The sequence below is a fragment of the Homo sapiens genome, chromosome 6 (assembly GCF_000001405.40).
Source record: "Homo sapiens chromosome 6, GRCh38.p14 Primary Assembly".
NCBI classification, from domain to species: Eukaryota; Metazoa; Chordata; class Mammalia; order Primates; family Hominidae; genus Homo; species Homo sapiens.
In genome coordinates, this window is record NC_000006.12 from 35,276,484 (window position 1) to 35,292,267 (window position 15,784).

Here is a 15,784-nt window from a genome sequence, read left to right on the forward strand (position 1 = left end):
AGCAAGTGCCACTATTATCCCCATTTTCTCAGAAGTGACATCTGAGGCTCAGAGAGCCTGCCCAAGGCTACACAGAAGTTCAGCCTGGATTAAAACCCAGACCTGACTTCAGAGCCTGTGCTCTTAACCACACCACTGATTTTCCTTAGAAAGTCCCAGTGGAGTGCAGTTGTGCTCAGTTAAACCATGTGAGTATTTGACAGAGGTGAGCTGCAGGAGCCACAGGGCCCAGGGAGTCTGAGGATATTTTGCAATCCCTTTTCAACCTATGTCTGCTTTGTTTTTATTTTTATTTATTTATTTATGGGTTTTTTTTTTTTTTTTTTTTTGAGACAAGAGTTTTGCTGTTGTTGCCCAGGCTAGAGTGCAGTGATGCAATTTTGGCTCACTGCAACCTCCGCCTCCTGGGTCCAAGCAATTCTCCTGCCTCAGCCTCCCAAGTAGCTAGGCATGTGCTACCACACCTGGCTAATTTTTGTATTTTTTTTTTTTTTTAGCAGAGGCGGGGTTTCACCATGTTGGTCAGGCTGGTCTCGAACTCCTGATCTCAAGTGATCCGCCCACTTCGGCCTCCCAAAGTGCTGGGATTACAGGCATGAGCCACCGTGCCCAGCCTGCTTTGTTTTTAGACCTGGTTTCTCTTATGTGTCTTCTGACACAGTGCAGTTACACTAAAGCGGGTTACCCAAAGAATCTACCTGATGAAGAGAGTGAAGCTTGAAGGTCAGAGCAGACCAAGAGAGGCCAGGAGCAGAGCTCTTGTGAGACAGGGACCACGTGGAGGTTATCAGGGCTCTGGGCAAGGATGCTAATAGACCAGAGATGTCAGATGTCAGAATCCCCACCTTGACCAGTGGTTCTTCACCATTAATCCCTATCAGACCCTGATGACAGCCTTGGATTTCCCTCTCTCCTGGAAAATGCAAAGGCTCACACACCAAAAAAGTATTTTGGAGTAGCTTCAAGTTTCATAAACCCCCAGCTTCACCTCTGTGCTTCGCAGCATAGTAATTAAGGTCACACTCTGGATTAAATGGCCTAGGGTGAAATCCTCCTTTACTAGTTAGCTGTGTAACCTTGAGCAAGTTACTTAACTTGGTCTTGGGCCTCCAGTTCCCTCACTTTTAAATGAGGATAATCATAGCATTTGATTGTAGGATTGTTAGAACTAAATGAGTTAATGTATGTGACATTCCTAGCACGTGGTTAACTCTATAGTAGTGTTCACTATATAATAGTATTGCTGCCCTTGCACCTTAGCCCATTTAGTAAATGTTTATGGACAGAATGAATGAATAATTCTAGTTGAGATGCCATGCCTGGGGTAGAGCATTCCAATCAGCGTGTCGCAGTTGGTCTATAGGTTTTTTTGGGTTTTTCGTTTGTTTGTTTTTGAGACGGAGTCTCACTCTGTCGCCCAGGCTGGAGTGCAGTGGTGCAGTCTTGGCTCACTGCAAGCTCCGCCTCCCAGGTTTATGCCATTCTTCTGCCTTAGCCTCCCGAGTAGCTGGAACTACAGGCGCCCTCCACGCCCGGCTAATTTTTTGTATTTTTAGTAGAGACAGGGTTTCACCCTGTTAGTCAGGATGGTCTGGATCTCCTGACCTTGTGATCTGCCCGCCTCAACTTCTCAAAGTGCTGGGATTACAGGTGTGAGCCACCACGCCCAGCCAGTTTTTGTTTTGTTTTTTTCTTTTTTTTTGAGACGGAGTTTCGCTGTTGTTGCCCAGGCTGGAGTGCAATGACACGATCTCGGCTCACCGCAACCTCTGCCTCCCAGGTTCAAGCAATTCTCCTGCCTCAGCCTCCCAAGTAGCTGGGATTACAGGCATGTGCCACCATGCCCAGCTAATTTTGTATTTTTAGTAGAGACGGGGCTTCTCCATGTTAGTCAGGCTGGTCTCGAACTCCTGGATGGTCTATAATTTTGCCAAGATATTGATCCGCTCGCCCCTCAGGGCTGTCAAAGCCCCAGTTGGTCGCTTCTGGCTTGAAGCAGTGACATCTGCAATGTGAACTTCTGACTTTAAGCAGCAGCATCTGCAATGCAATGTACAAATATCTGTCTCTCTAGGTCCCCTGACATGAAAACAGTTTGGGTAGCACCAGTCAAAGATATCGGTTGGTAAGTCGTGAGAATCCAGTAGGCAGTCCAGATTCCAAGTCCAGGAGAATTTTGAGAATGGATGTCAAAGAGAGTCTTCACGACTGCACTGAGTTTAGAGGCCGTGGGCTTCCTGCAGGCTTCACAAGTGTTGGGGTCCACTGCTAGAGCAGGCTGCACACCACAGTGGGTACAGAAGATATCCTGCCAGCAGGAAGCTTCAGTGCTTCCCACCTTGCACATGAGGGACCCAGGGAGTCACTCACAGGATGTGTGGAGAGCCCACAGTGTGAGTTGCTGGAGAAACCACTGTGACGCAGAAACCAGGCTAGAGCCCAAAGCCTTGTGTAGGCAACGGACATTAAACAGATAGTGATGAGTACTGAAGTAGGTTGAGCCCAGAGGTGTGAGTGCTAGGAAAAGGTGGTACCTAGGCTGTGGGAGTTTATAACAACCCAGCCTTGTATGCAAGGTGGACTCTAAGAGCTGTAGGAAACTATGGAAGGGTTTTAGTCAAGGAAGTGGTATGTTTAGATTTGTACTCTTTTTTTCTTATAAATCTACTTTTATTTATTTACTTTTCATTAGCTTAAGTCCTTGAGGGGCACAGCGTCACACAGATTCTGTGTTCAATAGCTTTAGCAAGATTGCTTGGGAATTTAGCACAAACCATGCCACTGTTTCCATGGGCCTGAGTTTACCTTTCCCCAGATTATGCTGGTTTTCTTCAGTTTGCTGCCAGCAGTCAGTGTGTTGTTCTTTGCTTTATACATGTAAGTACATCTCTTGCCTAAATAGAATTAGTTTCATTTCGAGCATAAATACCTTCAATTTTTTTTTTTTTTTTTTTTTTTTTTTGGGACGGAGTCTCGCTCTGTCGCCCAGGCTGGAGTGCAGTGGCGCGATCTTGGCTCATTGCAAGCTCCACCTCCCAGGTTCATGCCATTCTCCTGCCTCAGCCTCCCAAGTAGCTGGGACTACAGGTGCCCACCACCACGCCCGGCTAATTTTTTGTATTTTTAGTAGAGATGGGTTTTCACCATGTTAGCCAGGATGGTCTCAATCTCCTGACCTCGTGATCCACTGTCCTCGGCCTCCCAAAGTGCTGGGATTACAGTCGTGAGCCACCGCACTTGGCCAATACCTCAATTTTAATAAGAGCTGTGTCCTCGCTTTGGTTCTGGAGGCCCCACTTACAGCTAGCAAAAAATGGCCTTGGACTACAGCCTTCCAAATGTATTGTATTTATCTTATTATTATTTTTGAGACAGAGTCTCTTTATCACCCAGGCTGGAATTCAGTGGTATGATCAAAGCTTACTGCAGTTTCAAATTCCTGGGGTCAGGCAGTGCTCCCACCTCAGCCTCTTGTGTAGCTAGGATTGCAGGCATGTGCCACTACACCTGGCTAATTTTTTTTTTTTTGTAGAGACAATGTCTTGCTGTGTTGCCCACATTGGTCTTGAACTCCTAGCCTCAAATAATCCTCCTGCCTCAGCCTCCCAAAGCACTGGGATTACAGGCATGAGCCACTACACCCCGCCCATATTTGCCTTTTGGAAGTCCTGTTCTCAGCAGGCCTCTACAGGCTCCAAGATAGTGGGAAGAGAGCTTTTTTTTTAAATTCACCCTGACAGCATAAACATGAATGTTAGAACATGAGTTGGAAGAGGCTGAGGCAGGAAGATCACTTGAGCCCAGGAGTTCGAGGTTACAGTGAACTGTGATGGAGCCACTGCACTCCAGCTGGGCGACAGAGTGATACTTTGTCTCTAAAAAAGGAAAGAAAAGAAAATGAATTGGAAACAGACAAAAGTTTATCTGAGGACATAAGTTATAAGGCTCCTTATAGTTGTCCAGAGGTGAAAGGTGAGACATGCCTGAAATAAGTACCTGGACTTTTAAGGGAAAAGGAGGACTCAAGCATGATCCCCCCCCCCCCCGCCCTGAAGTTCTGGGTGGAAGGCGATACCACCCCTGGGATAGGGGATACTGGAAGTACAATAGTTCTGGAAGGTTGGGACACATTGTGAGTTCTGTTGAGGACTTATTCCACGTGTGGTACATGTGGGATGTTCCCTGAGGATGGTTAACAAGCTCAGTAGATAAATGGGTCCGAGCACAGGAGAGATGTTGGAGTAGGCAGAGAGAACCATCAGCAGTGGGGTTAACTGCCTGCCTTCAGCAGGGCTCCTTCCTAAGGGGAGAAAGTTTAGAAATGGGTTTTGATCAGTGATTTCTTACTTTATGACCAGTTTGATTGGCATGCTTCTCTTCTATGCTTAACTTTTAGAATTCTTAGATAATGTGTATTTTGAGCCCTTTTCATAAAAACCAATATAGTTCACTACTTTGAAGAATTCATCTTTTTTCTTCTTGGCTGGCTGGCCTCATTAACTCCTTCCCTGAGTGTCTTTGCGATAGGAGAAAGCTGGTTAACTCATAATGTGATACTGTTTATTTTCTTAGATTTGTGACCCAGAAGGAAATCTCTGACCTCAGCTGTGGCTCTTGGTGCTGGCCAGAAGCCAACTTCATGTCTGAGTGCACGAGCAGCAGTTTGCCATGGAGAGCTTGGGGCTGCACACGGTGACCCTTAGTGATGGGACAACAGCCTACGTCCAGCAAGCTGTCAAAGGTAAGTATTTCTGGGGACCTCAGGATCCTGCCCTGTCCCTCAGCCTCTGGAAAGGAGTGTCCATTTCTAAGAGTCCCACCATCACCTTGCCCTCCCGCCTGCTTACCCTTGCCCACCACCACAATTTGCTCTGCATTAGAATCTCCTGTGGTGCTTGATGAAAAGGGAACTCTAAAATAAAATGCTACAAGTCAGACAATCCCAGTCATAGGAACCAATACCTCTCAAAGACAGAATTCCTAATATGTAATAAGCAGTTGATAAATATTTCTGGAATGAACACAGTGTTAGTTATGACTCCCTGCTTTTCAGATATCCCCTGTCACAGTTTTTTAGTGCTTTCTAGAAGCAGTTTATCATCTTAATTCAAGTATATTCAAACATTCAAACTACTAAGCATCTGCCATGTACAAGATGCTCTTTTAAGCCAGGCATAGTGGCTCATGTCTATAATCCCAGCACTCAGAAGGCTGAGATGGAAAGATCACTTGAGGCCGGGAGTTGGAGACCAGCCTGGGCAACATAGCAAGACTCTTGTCTCTAAAAAAAATAATAAAAATAATAATCTGGGTGCAGCAGCATGCACCTTTAGTCCCAGCTATTCAGGAGGCTGAGGCAGAAGGATCACTGAAACCCAGGAGTTTGAGGGTTCAGTGAACTATCACTGCACCACTGCACACCAGCCTGGGTGACAGAGCAAGATCCCATCTCTTAAAAAAAAAAAAAAAAAAAGATACTCTTCCTGATTCAGAGAGGAACACCCAAGCAGAGATCTCATGCCCTAATCCCCACTAGGGGATGCCAGAATTGAAAATATAGGACATGTAGTTAAATTTGAATTGGACGTAACAATGAATACTCTTGTAGGATACATACATCCCAAATGTTGTAGGGACGTATGTATACCACATACTAGGGACATACATATACCCCTTATAAGGGATAGACATATATAAATGTGGGATTAAGCTGGGCTTGGTGGCATGCACCTGTAGTCTCAGCTACTTGGGAGGTTCAGATGGGAGGATCTCTTGAGGCCATAAGTTTGAGGTCAGCCTAGACAACAGCAAGACCCCATCTAAAAAAAAAGTAGGGGGTGTTAAATACTATAAAATACTAAAATAATAATACCAAGTTCTAAAAAAAAAAAAAAAAGTATTGTTTATCTGAAATTCAGATTTACCTGGGCATCCTGTATTTTATCTGGCAATTCTATCCTTACACTGAAGGTACTTAAAATCAAGGTAGGTGTGGAGTCAGAATAAAGTGTTTAGGGCAAGGCCTGCAGGCCAGGGACACTTTTCCTTTCTTGCCAGTGTTCTCAGGCAGCCAGATAGCATTCGTGTCTTCCTTGGACAGCACCTTGAACAAGGCAAATACTGCCTTGTTCCTACTGTTCATTTGGCGTTTTCTGGACTCCATGATTGTCACTGTCCTCCTGAAGCACTGTCATTGCAACATTGCCCTCCTTTATTTCAACACACTCTCAGAATATATTTCTGCTCCTAAGTTTACAGATAAGTTGTTTATTGATTTCATTTTAAGTTGTCTGTTTCCTGATGATGACTAAGGAGTCCCCTTAATCTCATCAGTAAGCACTTTCCATATGACAGTGTGTGGGGGTCCCTTCTGGAAAGGTTTCTTGTCAAGAGCTGTCTGTGACATGTGGGTTCTTGTTGGCTTCATCTTCTTGAGAACGCAACTTCTCTAGAATGCTTTTGAAGCCTGAAACTCTCTGTTTGCAGACTTCCCACTCCAGGTCTTGCCCCTCCAGTGCAGTCTCCATGGGATGGAAGAACTTAGAACTCTAGCTAGGGTTGTGTTTACTCCTTGGACCCAGTTAGTTCCCGTGCCTCAGTCTTCCACTGAGAATTAATGGTCAAACAAATGAATAAAAAGCAAGTGACCACACCTGACCTGAGAGAGCCACTCTTTCCTTATATCTATCCTTCTTACGTATTTCTTTATTCTGTCAGTCTTCCTGGCTGTTCTTTGCCCACTCTGTAGTGTTGCAGTGTGCACTTACACACACACATATGCAAACACACACTCACTCACAACAGATTTTCCCTCTGCTCAGGGTAGAGCTCTCCTTCAGAGACCAGAACCACACTTTCCTGAAAGGCTTCTCTGACTTCTCCTCTGAAGCTTTTGACTGAGGCATTTTTGTCTCTGTCTGCTGGAAGCCCTAAAATTGTAAGAGACTTATCTTTAATTAGGATGAGTATAAAATGTATTATTCAAACCCAGCATTTTAAAAGTGGAAGAATGTGCTATTAATAAATGCACTAGGACTGTTCCAGGCAAACTGGGGCGTATGGTCACCTCTCTGTAATGGGATATGAGGCCCTTGTCAGTCAGCTGTTCTCCCCACTGCCTCTCTCCATTGTAGTCTCTGGTTGTTTGAGGAAATAGTAGGCTAAGTTTTTTCTTCAGACAACTCTTCTCAACATTTTGTTTTCTACCTTGAAGCAGTACCCACTCTGCTGGCCGTAGCTTGCTGATGCTTTCAGAACCCCAAGTACTGATGCCCTTGCCAGGACAGATAAATTGTTAAAATGAGGGTAGCCTACTGCTCTGTGGGTGGGAGGGAAGAAAATGGGTTCATCTTCCCCCCATCTCAGCTGCCTTTCCTATTTCTTACCTTTATCTCCACCTTACCTGCCTTTGGTTAGTTGTAGGACTGTTAGTTACTGACCCCAAGAAGACTCAGTTTGGGAGCAAGTTTGGGGATTCCTCTAAAGGGGAGACGTCAGCAGAGACTTGGGCTGGAAGTAACTGTCTTTCCCACCTGAGCGCTCAGTTTCCTAAACCTCAATCTTCTAAGGAAAGGACAAATCACTTGTCATTAACTTTTTTTTTATTTTTTCTTCCTTTTTTTTTTTGAGACGGAGTCTCACCCTGTAGCCCAGGCTGGAGTGCAGTGGCGTGATCTCGGCTCACTGCAACCTTCGCCTCCCGGGTTCAAGCGATTCTCCTGCCTCAGCCTCCCGAGTAGCTGGGACTATAGGCATGTGCCATCACGCCTGGTTAATTTTTTTGTATTTTTAGTAGAGACACGGTTTCATGATGTTGGCTAGACTGGTCTCGAACTCCCGACCTCAGGTTATCCGCCTGCCTCAGCCTCCCAAAGTGCTGGGATTATAAGTGTGAGCCACCACACCCAGCCTTACTTTTTTGTTTTTTCTTTTTGAGACAGGACCTCACTCTGTCACCCAGGCTAGAGTGCAGTGGTACAATCTCAGCTCACTGCAACCTCCGCCTCCCGGGTTCAAGTGATTCTCCTGCCTCAGCCTTCCGAGTAGCTGGGACGACAGGTACCTGCCTCCACACCCAGCTAATTTTTTTGTATTTTTAGTAGAGACAGGGTTTCACCATGTTGGTTAGGCTGGTCTCAAACTCCTGACCTCAGGTGATCTGCTCGCCTTGGCCTCCCAAAGTGCTGGGATTACAGATGTAAGCCACCGTGCCCAGCCTTTTTATTTATTTATTTTTTATTTTTTTCAGACAGGGTCTTACTCTGTCACCCAGGCTGGACTGCAGTGGCATAATCACGGCTTACTGCAACTTCTGCCTCCTGGGCTCAAGCAATCCTCCCACCTCAGCCTCCCGAGTAACTGGGACCACAGGCATGCACTACTACATCCAGTTAATTTTTGTGTTTTTTGTAGAGACAGGGTTTTGTCACATAGCTCAGGCTGGTCTCAAACTCCTGAGCTCAAGCGATCCACCCGCCTTGGCCTCCCAAAGTGTTGGGATTATAGGCATGAGCCACCGAATCTGACCATCATTAACTCTTCAATCTCCCTTTCTTTCCTTTCTCATTTCTCTTCTTCCTTCCCCCTCTGTCAGACTCACTGGACACAAGGAAGGGTCGTCTAGTTCTAATTTCAAGAGCCTTATTAGAAGTGCTTTCCAGTAAGGTAAAGGAAGAGTAATATCTTAGGAAATCTGGAGGCTTGTTAATTTTTATGCTGCTTGTTGTGTTGCCTTAGGTGATCTAATTTTTTACTAGAAAATTGAAATGAAAAATGAGAGGTCAATGAAGGAACATTACTCAACAGTGGCAGTGGAATAAGACCTTCATGGACACATAATAGCATAATAGTTGTGCTCACATAGTTCTCTATTGCTTTACTTTCCATTTCTTCTAAAATGCATATTGGGCTTATAATAAAAGCTAGGATTTATTGAGGGCTGACCATATATACCTGGCACTCTTCCCAGTTTTTTATATTCGTTAACTCATTTAACCCTAACAGCAACCCTATAAGAGACACAGTTTTCAATCCCCATTTTAAGAAAAGGAAACTGAGGCACAGAGAGGTTAGTTAAATAAGCTGTCCAAGGTCACACAGCTGTTAAGAGGTAGAGCTGGAATTCAAACTCTGGAGGCCTGGCCTGGTTCCAGAGTCTATTGTTTTTAACCATTAAGCTATATATCCTGCCTTCACAGGGGCTCCTGGTCTTAGCACACTGTCATAGTGAGGGATGAGGGGATATGTTTTGATTTTGTTAGTTTGAGCTATATCTGAATTTTGACCCACTGGGGCTCATCCAGGTTTAAGGGCCATTAGTTCAAGTCTCAGCAACTTACTATTAGGTTGGAAGTTTCCACTTGGCTGGGCATGGGTAGAATAATAAGTGAAGTTATTCCTCCTGTTAGTAACTGGAAGGGAATCTGTTGGGAGGTGATGGGTTCGGCAAGGCAAGTGTCTTCACCCTTAGTGTCTCAAGGCCCAGGCCCAGGGAGACAGAGCAAGGGAACAAGGAAGATGTTACCCATGCTTAGACCTGCAGGCTCGTGCCTAGAGACTCAAATAAGCCTCAGCTAAAAACAGGCAGGCGTTTCTTAGCCCTCTTCTGGTCCTGGCCCATTTCTCTCTATTTCCACTCTTAACAGGAGAGAAGCTTCTTGAAGGGCAGGTGATCCAGCTCGAGGATGGGACCACCGCATACATTCACCAGGTGACGGTACAGAAAGGTGAGGGCACCCCAACACACCATGCCTTGTCGAGGGAAGCCTGACAGCCCCCACCAAGGGACCCCTCCATGGCACTGAGCTCCAGGGAAAGGCAGGCATTGCTCTCGTTACAGAAGCTCTCTCCTTTGAGGATGGTCAGCCTGTGCAGCTGGAAGATGGCAGCATGGCTTACATACACCGCACACCCAGAGGTAGGGTCACCATCATCACAACTCGGGGAAGGATGGGAGGCAGGACTGGAGGATGGGGTGGCAGGACTGGAGGATGGGATGGCACACAACTGGGGTGTAGACATGGGAGCTGTCATCTCCATGGTACACACATGCTCACCTGGATTAGCAGCCTTGCCCACCTTCCCTGGTGCAGACCACAGGAGCAGCTATGTCTGCAACTGGGAGGTGAGCCTTGGAGATCAGTGACGTGGACTTTGATGGTGGCCTTGGCTCCAGCACAGCCACAAAGTCTTAGGGCTTTAAATAGGACCCGAGGATATCATCCAAGACCAGGAAAAAAAACTAATATTTTAGAATGAAGCTCCTAAGGTGCTGAAGAATAACAATTTATTCCTTCCGCAGGTGGTTTCTTGAGTGACTGTTGCATGCCTGGCGTTGTGTTAGGTGTGCAGTATACAAGACAGAACAAAGTCAGACACAGTCCCCGCTCTCCTAGAGTCTAGAGGGGGAAACAGAAGTGAAACAAGCCATCAGTGATGAACTGATCATTACAAACAGAGATCAGGCTCAGGGAGGGCTTCTCTGAGGTAGTGATGCTTGAGCTGAGAGGTAAAGAATGAGGTAGACTTAGCTGGGGGAAGAGGGATGGCAGGGAGGGTTCAGTACTTCAGGCAGAAGGAATAGCATGTGCAGGCCTAGAGCTGGGGGGAAGAAAGAACAGCACATTCCAGGAACTGCTAGGAGCTAGAGCCCTGGGAGTGAAGGCAGAATGAGCAGGAGGAAACTGGAGAGAGAAAGACAGGGCTGGTGCACTCTGGGTTTGAGTGTCAGGGTGAGGATTTTGGTCTTTATCCTGAGACCAGTGGGAAGCATTTAAACTGTTGAGGCAGTTAAGTGACATGGTCACATTTGTGTCCCGCAAAGATCCCTCTGGATGTTGTGCTGCCTGGAGGGAACTAGAGGGGGTGAGGAGCGACTGGTCAGGAGGCTATTGTGGTCATCTAAGCCAAAATGATGATGGGCCCCTGTCAGGTCCTCAAGGAGCTTGTGAGTTCCCATTTAGTGTACCATAGGAGACCTCATCCTTAGGTGAGACAGCTGCAGAAGGAGGGCCAGCAAGAGTGAATCACAAAGTGAAGGGCCATGAGAAATTGGATGTTGAAACCCTCCTTGGTATATGTATCTCTCATTAACTTAAAGCTAGGGTCCCAGCTGTATCTCTTCCCCTTGTGTGGCATCAGGGCTAACCGCGTGTTCCCTGCAGAAGGCTATGACCCCAGCACCCTGGAAGCCGTCCAACTGGAAGATGGCTCCACTGCCTACATTCACCACCCTGTGGCTGTGCCATCGGAGAGCACCATCCTGGCCGTACAGACAGAGGTGGGCTTGGAGGACCTGGCAGCAGAGGATGATGAGGGCTTCAGTGCAGACGCAGTGGTGGCCCTGGAGCAGTATGCCAGCAAGGTGAGCACGCACAGCGTGACACGGTCTGTCACTCTAGACAACCGGGCCTGGCCTGCGCACTGCCTCTTGGCCCTGCCAGAACTTCACCTCTCAAGAGGACAAGGGCAGCCCTGTGCTTGGGCACCATGTGGGATATTCCCTTTGCCCCTCCACCCCAGCTCCCCCAACTCACCTGTCACACATCATTGTCTAGGGCATGCAACACAGCCTGGCCTGGCCGCTGACAGCTGTTTACGCTCACTTTTGTTTACGCTGTCTTTGCAGAGGGAAAGCTGCCATAAGAAACAGTGGCATCCTTATGCTGAGGAGTTAGGCCCAGCTTCACTTTGGCTGCTGTAGTAATCCTCTGCACTAGCTGGGAAAGCCCTGCCAGTGACTTGTATTAGCTTTCTAGTCCACTGAGGTAATTGTATTTATTTCTTCTCTGTGACTCAGTCATTTGGAAAATTAACCTCAGTGGGCTATGACAAGGGCATGTGCAACAGAACAGCTGGGATTCCTGGATTATGAGGCCCACACAGTAGCTCAGCTGGAAAGGAAAAGGGTCCTGGCTCTGCAAATACCAGTCAGTCCAAGTTCTTTCTGCCGAAACCATGGTCCTGCATGTGGGGAAAAGGGTACAGACATCTCTGAGCTTTCCAAACCAGGGTGTTCCCTTCCTGGAATGACTACAGAGCCTCAGGCTGGATGTGCCAGGGCTTCCTGCACGTTCCTTCCTTCCAGCAGTTTTACCCGAAGATGGGGGAGGTTTTTTATTTATAATGAAACCAGTGTGACTGAATGATGGAGGAAAAAAGGAAGTCCTCATGTCTTTTCAAAATGAAGCACAGGCCGGGAGCAGAGGCTCACGCCTGTAATCCCAGCACTTTGGGAGGCTGAGGCAGGTGGATCGCTTGAGTCCAGGAGTTTGAGACCAGTCTGGGCAACATGGCGAAACCTCATCTCTACACAAAAATACAAAAACAAATTAGCTGGGCATGGTGGTGCGCACCTGTGGTCCCAGCTACTGGGAAGCGGAGGTGGGAGGATCAGGAGGCGGTGACTGCAATGAGCTGAGATTGTCCCACTGCACTCCAGCCTGGGCAACAGAGGGAGATCCTATCTAAAAAAAAAAAAAAAAAAAAAAGTCACAAAACTTTACAGTAGGCTACATTCACTCCCACCCAGGTTCCCTGAGGTATATCTTAGAGACCAAATTTGAGACTCGATGTTGATGTAAAGAGAAGTGGGTTTTATTTAAATCATGAGCCCTGAGATCTATGCTTGCTCTACCTCTACCTAGTCCAAACTTGGGTGAGTCCCTCCTCTCCTCGACCTCAGCTTATTCCTAATATGATGAGATGGGACCAGATGATCTCAGAGGTCACTTCCATCCCTGATGTCCCTTGATTCCCGTGATTACCCCAGGAGCTAGTGAGACATGGAATGAAATCCAAGTGCCTGTGTGGGTTAGCCCGCCAAGCAGGTCAGGCCACCTCTGACCCTACCCTCTACCCAGAAGCTGTTTAAGTGTCCGTGAAGCTCTCAGCTGCTTGAGCCTCTGAGCTGGAGCCTAACTAGACAGACCTTGCCATGAATTTGGCCTCACCCCTCTGTCCCCTGCTCACTGTAACTTGTAGAGTTCAGTTTCAGGAGCTCCTGGAAAGACCAGAGTGTGATTCTGAAGCATTCTAGAAAGAAAGACTAAGGGATAGTCCCACCAGGACCCTGCCCAGGAAAGCAGAAGAGCAATAAGGGCTCCCTGCATCCAGAGGCTGGTGTGAGATGGGTGGCTTTAGCAATATCCCAGAAGAGGAGACAAAAGGGGAGGACTTGTCAGCTGGGTGCTGTCATTAGAGCTGACATTTCTGGTGGAAACTGCAGCACTCCCCTGGGTGCTTCTGGTCGTGGCCACCTCACTCTGGGCCCCAAGTCCTATCAGATGAACCTAGGTGAGCTCATCTCCACAGCAAGCCCCCTTGTTTATGTACTTTTAAGCACTAGTTTCGTGCCAGGAGGAAGGGGACCCCTCCCATCAGAAGATGGAGGTCTTGAGAGTTGCAGGCTCCTAGGTGTGTGTGCTTAGAAGGAGGGTTTCTGGCACTTGGTCCAGTTCAAGCATGGCCATTCAGACAACCTCCCTTTTCACCTTACCTAGCTGTCTATGTGATAGCCTTTCTTCAATAGCCGTCACAGCCACTATGACCTGTAGGTCTCCCTTTATCCCATCAGAGATGGGTGGTGACTCCCCATGCCCACCCTGTTTCTTCTGTAGCATGCCCCAGCATCTGTTCCTTGTCCGTCTAGTTATGTTCTTCTGCCCCAGAGGCCCCTGACAGGTTTAACCCTGCCTGTTGGGTCTTAAGCTGCCAGCAGGGCCCTGTGTCCCACCTTCTTCACTGGGGAGAATACATATAGGGATCTCAAGACTTTTCCCCCAGGTTCTTCATGACAGCCAGATTCCCCGTAATGGAAAAGGGCAGCAAGTTGGAGACAGAGCATTCCGCTGTGGCTACAAGGGCTGTGGGCGTCTCTACACCACCGCTCATCACTTAAAGGTAAGGTTGCTGGCAGACAGCCGTCAGCTCTGCAGTCTTCCCTCCCAGGCTGTAATTCTACCTTTCTGCTTTGATTGGAATTGGTCCCTGCCCTCACGTTGCTGGAGGGAAGAAATGAGGGTACACAGGAATGCCAGCACAGAGCGCTTGACACACATGAATGGTACAGGAGGGAAGAGAATCAGGGTCCTAAAGAAAACCAAAGAGCCCTGGTCATACCCTTGCTCCTCTGAATTATGTGATTGCTTGTCCTCACAGGTGCATGAACGAGCTCATACAGGTGACCGTCCATACAGATGTGACTTCCCCAGCTGTGGAAAGGCCTTTGCCACAGGTAACCTGCCTGGTGGGCTGCTTCCAGTTGAGGGTGGAGGGTTCTCGTTCTGTTTGGGACCTCTCTGAAGGGAACCCAACACCAGGCTGCTTTCCTGGAGAAACTACCGTCAGAGTACTCTGACTTGCAGGGTGCTCTCTCTGGAGGAAACCTTGTTACGGGAGTGCAAGGCAGCATGGTTCAGGCCAGCAGAAGGAGCCTGGAGGGTTGGTGGAGAGACCCAGCCTCTTGTGTCAGCTCTGATGCCAACCAGCTGTGGATTATTGGGTGGGCCATTGCATCTCTCTGGGCTTATTTTCCCCTCTGTGAAACTAGTACCTTTAGCCATGAGTTCTCTAAGTTTCTTTTCATGCTCATGTTCTGGTATGGCTCCAACTGCTCCTGGAGAGGGAAGCAGGGCAGAGTGGGCTTTTCCAGCCCCTGCCCAGGGCAGGGGTGGGATAGAGGCAGACATGGGCTTCTTGAGCCAAAGGAGGTGGAGAGCCTGTGCATGAGGTGGACGGTGGAGGATGAGACCCCACTGGGTGCTCATCTCACCCCCTGCCTGCCACATATGGACAGGCTATGGACTGAAGAGCCACGTTCGTACCCACACTGGTGAGAAACCATACAAGTGCCCAGAGGAGCTGTGCAGCAAGGCCTTCAAGACCTCAGGAGACCTGCAGAAGCATGTCCGTACCCACACTGGTATGCTGGGCCCTGCCCACTCCAACCCCATTCCCTGGGCAAAAGGAATTCAGCTTGCCTTTCAGACTTAGACCTGGAGCCCAGTGCCATCCCCAGCTTGCTCCAGCATGGCCCTCTTTCCCACACCCCTCCTCACATCCCACCATTTGCATAGGTGAACGCCCGTTCCAGTGCCCTTTTGAGGGCTGTGGCCGCTCCTTCACCACATCTAACATCCGCAAGGTACATGTGCGCACCCACACAGGCGAGAGGCCCTACACCTGCCCGGAGCCCCACTGTGGCCGCGGCTTCACCAGCGCCACCAACTATAAGAATCACGTGCGCATCCACACAGGTGGGCTAGCTGGCATGCGAGGACTACCCTCACTCAGGCCCCAACCCCTCTACTGTAGGCTTCCCATCTAAGACACATTCCCAACTCCCAGCCCAGAACCCTTCTGTGCCAGCCATTCCAGGCTGGTCTGGGGGTAGGGTATCCCCAGAACAACTCTGCTTGCAGTGAGTAATTCCTCAATTTCCAGTTAGGTCCAATCTGAAAGGTATTGCCAGTCCTCTCTGGGGTCCCTCAGCTCCCTACCACCCCTCTACACCCACCCTGAGTTCTCCAACTCTGACTGAACTCTTGAAAAGAGGCCAGGGTCAGGAATGATGGGGAAGAAGCAGAGTGAACTGTCACCTTCAACTCCTCACCTTATCCGCCGTCCATGACTCCTGTGTATCCTCACCCTCCCCAGTGTTATGCCCCTCATCCAGCTTTCTGTGTTGTGTCTCAGCATGTGTGTCCCCTCTTTCCCATCACAACTGATACTTCAGTCATCCTTGCCTCTTGCCTCTGCTGTTCACCATTCTCAACCTCCCACCCTC

At 48.3% G+C, this 15,784-nt stretch overlaps 1 protein-coding gene across 15 annotated transcripts in view, besides 1 other annotated feature; it reads left to right on the forward strand.

Annotated features, from left to right (window-relative positions):
- ZNF76 (zinc finger protein 76) overlaps window positions 1-15,784 on the forward strand; it is a 36,453-nt gene that overhangs the window by 16,951 nt on the left and 3,718 nt on the right. For 10 of the 15 annotated variants that reach the window (XM_017011249.3, XM_017011256.2, XM_047419300.1 and 7 more), the window contains exons 2-9: window positions 4,573-4,741; window positions 9,645-9,725; window positions 9,839-9,916; window positions 11,163-11,362; window positions 13,783-13,899; window positions 14,158-14,233; window positions 14,795-14,920; window positions 15,075-15,254. In XM_017011249.3, coding sequence (XP_016866738.1) covers window positions 4,669-4,741; window positions 9,645-9,725; window positions 9,839-9,916; window positions 11,163-11,362; window positions 13,783-13,899; window positions 14,158-14,233; window positions 14,795-14,920; window positions 15,075-15,254 — 931 coding nt within the window. In that variant the 5' untranslated portion in view covers window positions 4,573-4,668. Of the gene's footprint in view, window positions 1-4,572; window positions 4,742-9,642; window positions 9,726-9,838; window positions 9,917-9,947; window positions 10,508-11,139; window positions 11,363-13,769; window positions 13,900-14,157; window positions 14,234-14,794; window positions 14,921-15,074; window positions 15,255-15,784 lie in introns of those variants that run through there. The other 5 variants (XM_047419302.1, XM_047419301.1, XM_017011255.2 and 2 more) reach the window with 3 other exon arrangements.
- Window positions 9,335-10,534: an enhancer, noted in NCBI's record as "BRD4-independent group 4 enhancer chr6:35253595-35254794 (GRCh37/hg19 assembly coordinates)". NCBI's record gives its function as "activates an origin of replication core promoter dependent on BRD2, P300/CBP, MED14 and CDK7 cofactors, and independent of BRD4, by STARR-seq in HCT116 cells {active_cell/tissue: HCT116}" and the evidence as "EXISTENCE:reporter gene assay evidence [ECO:0000049][PMID:35650434]".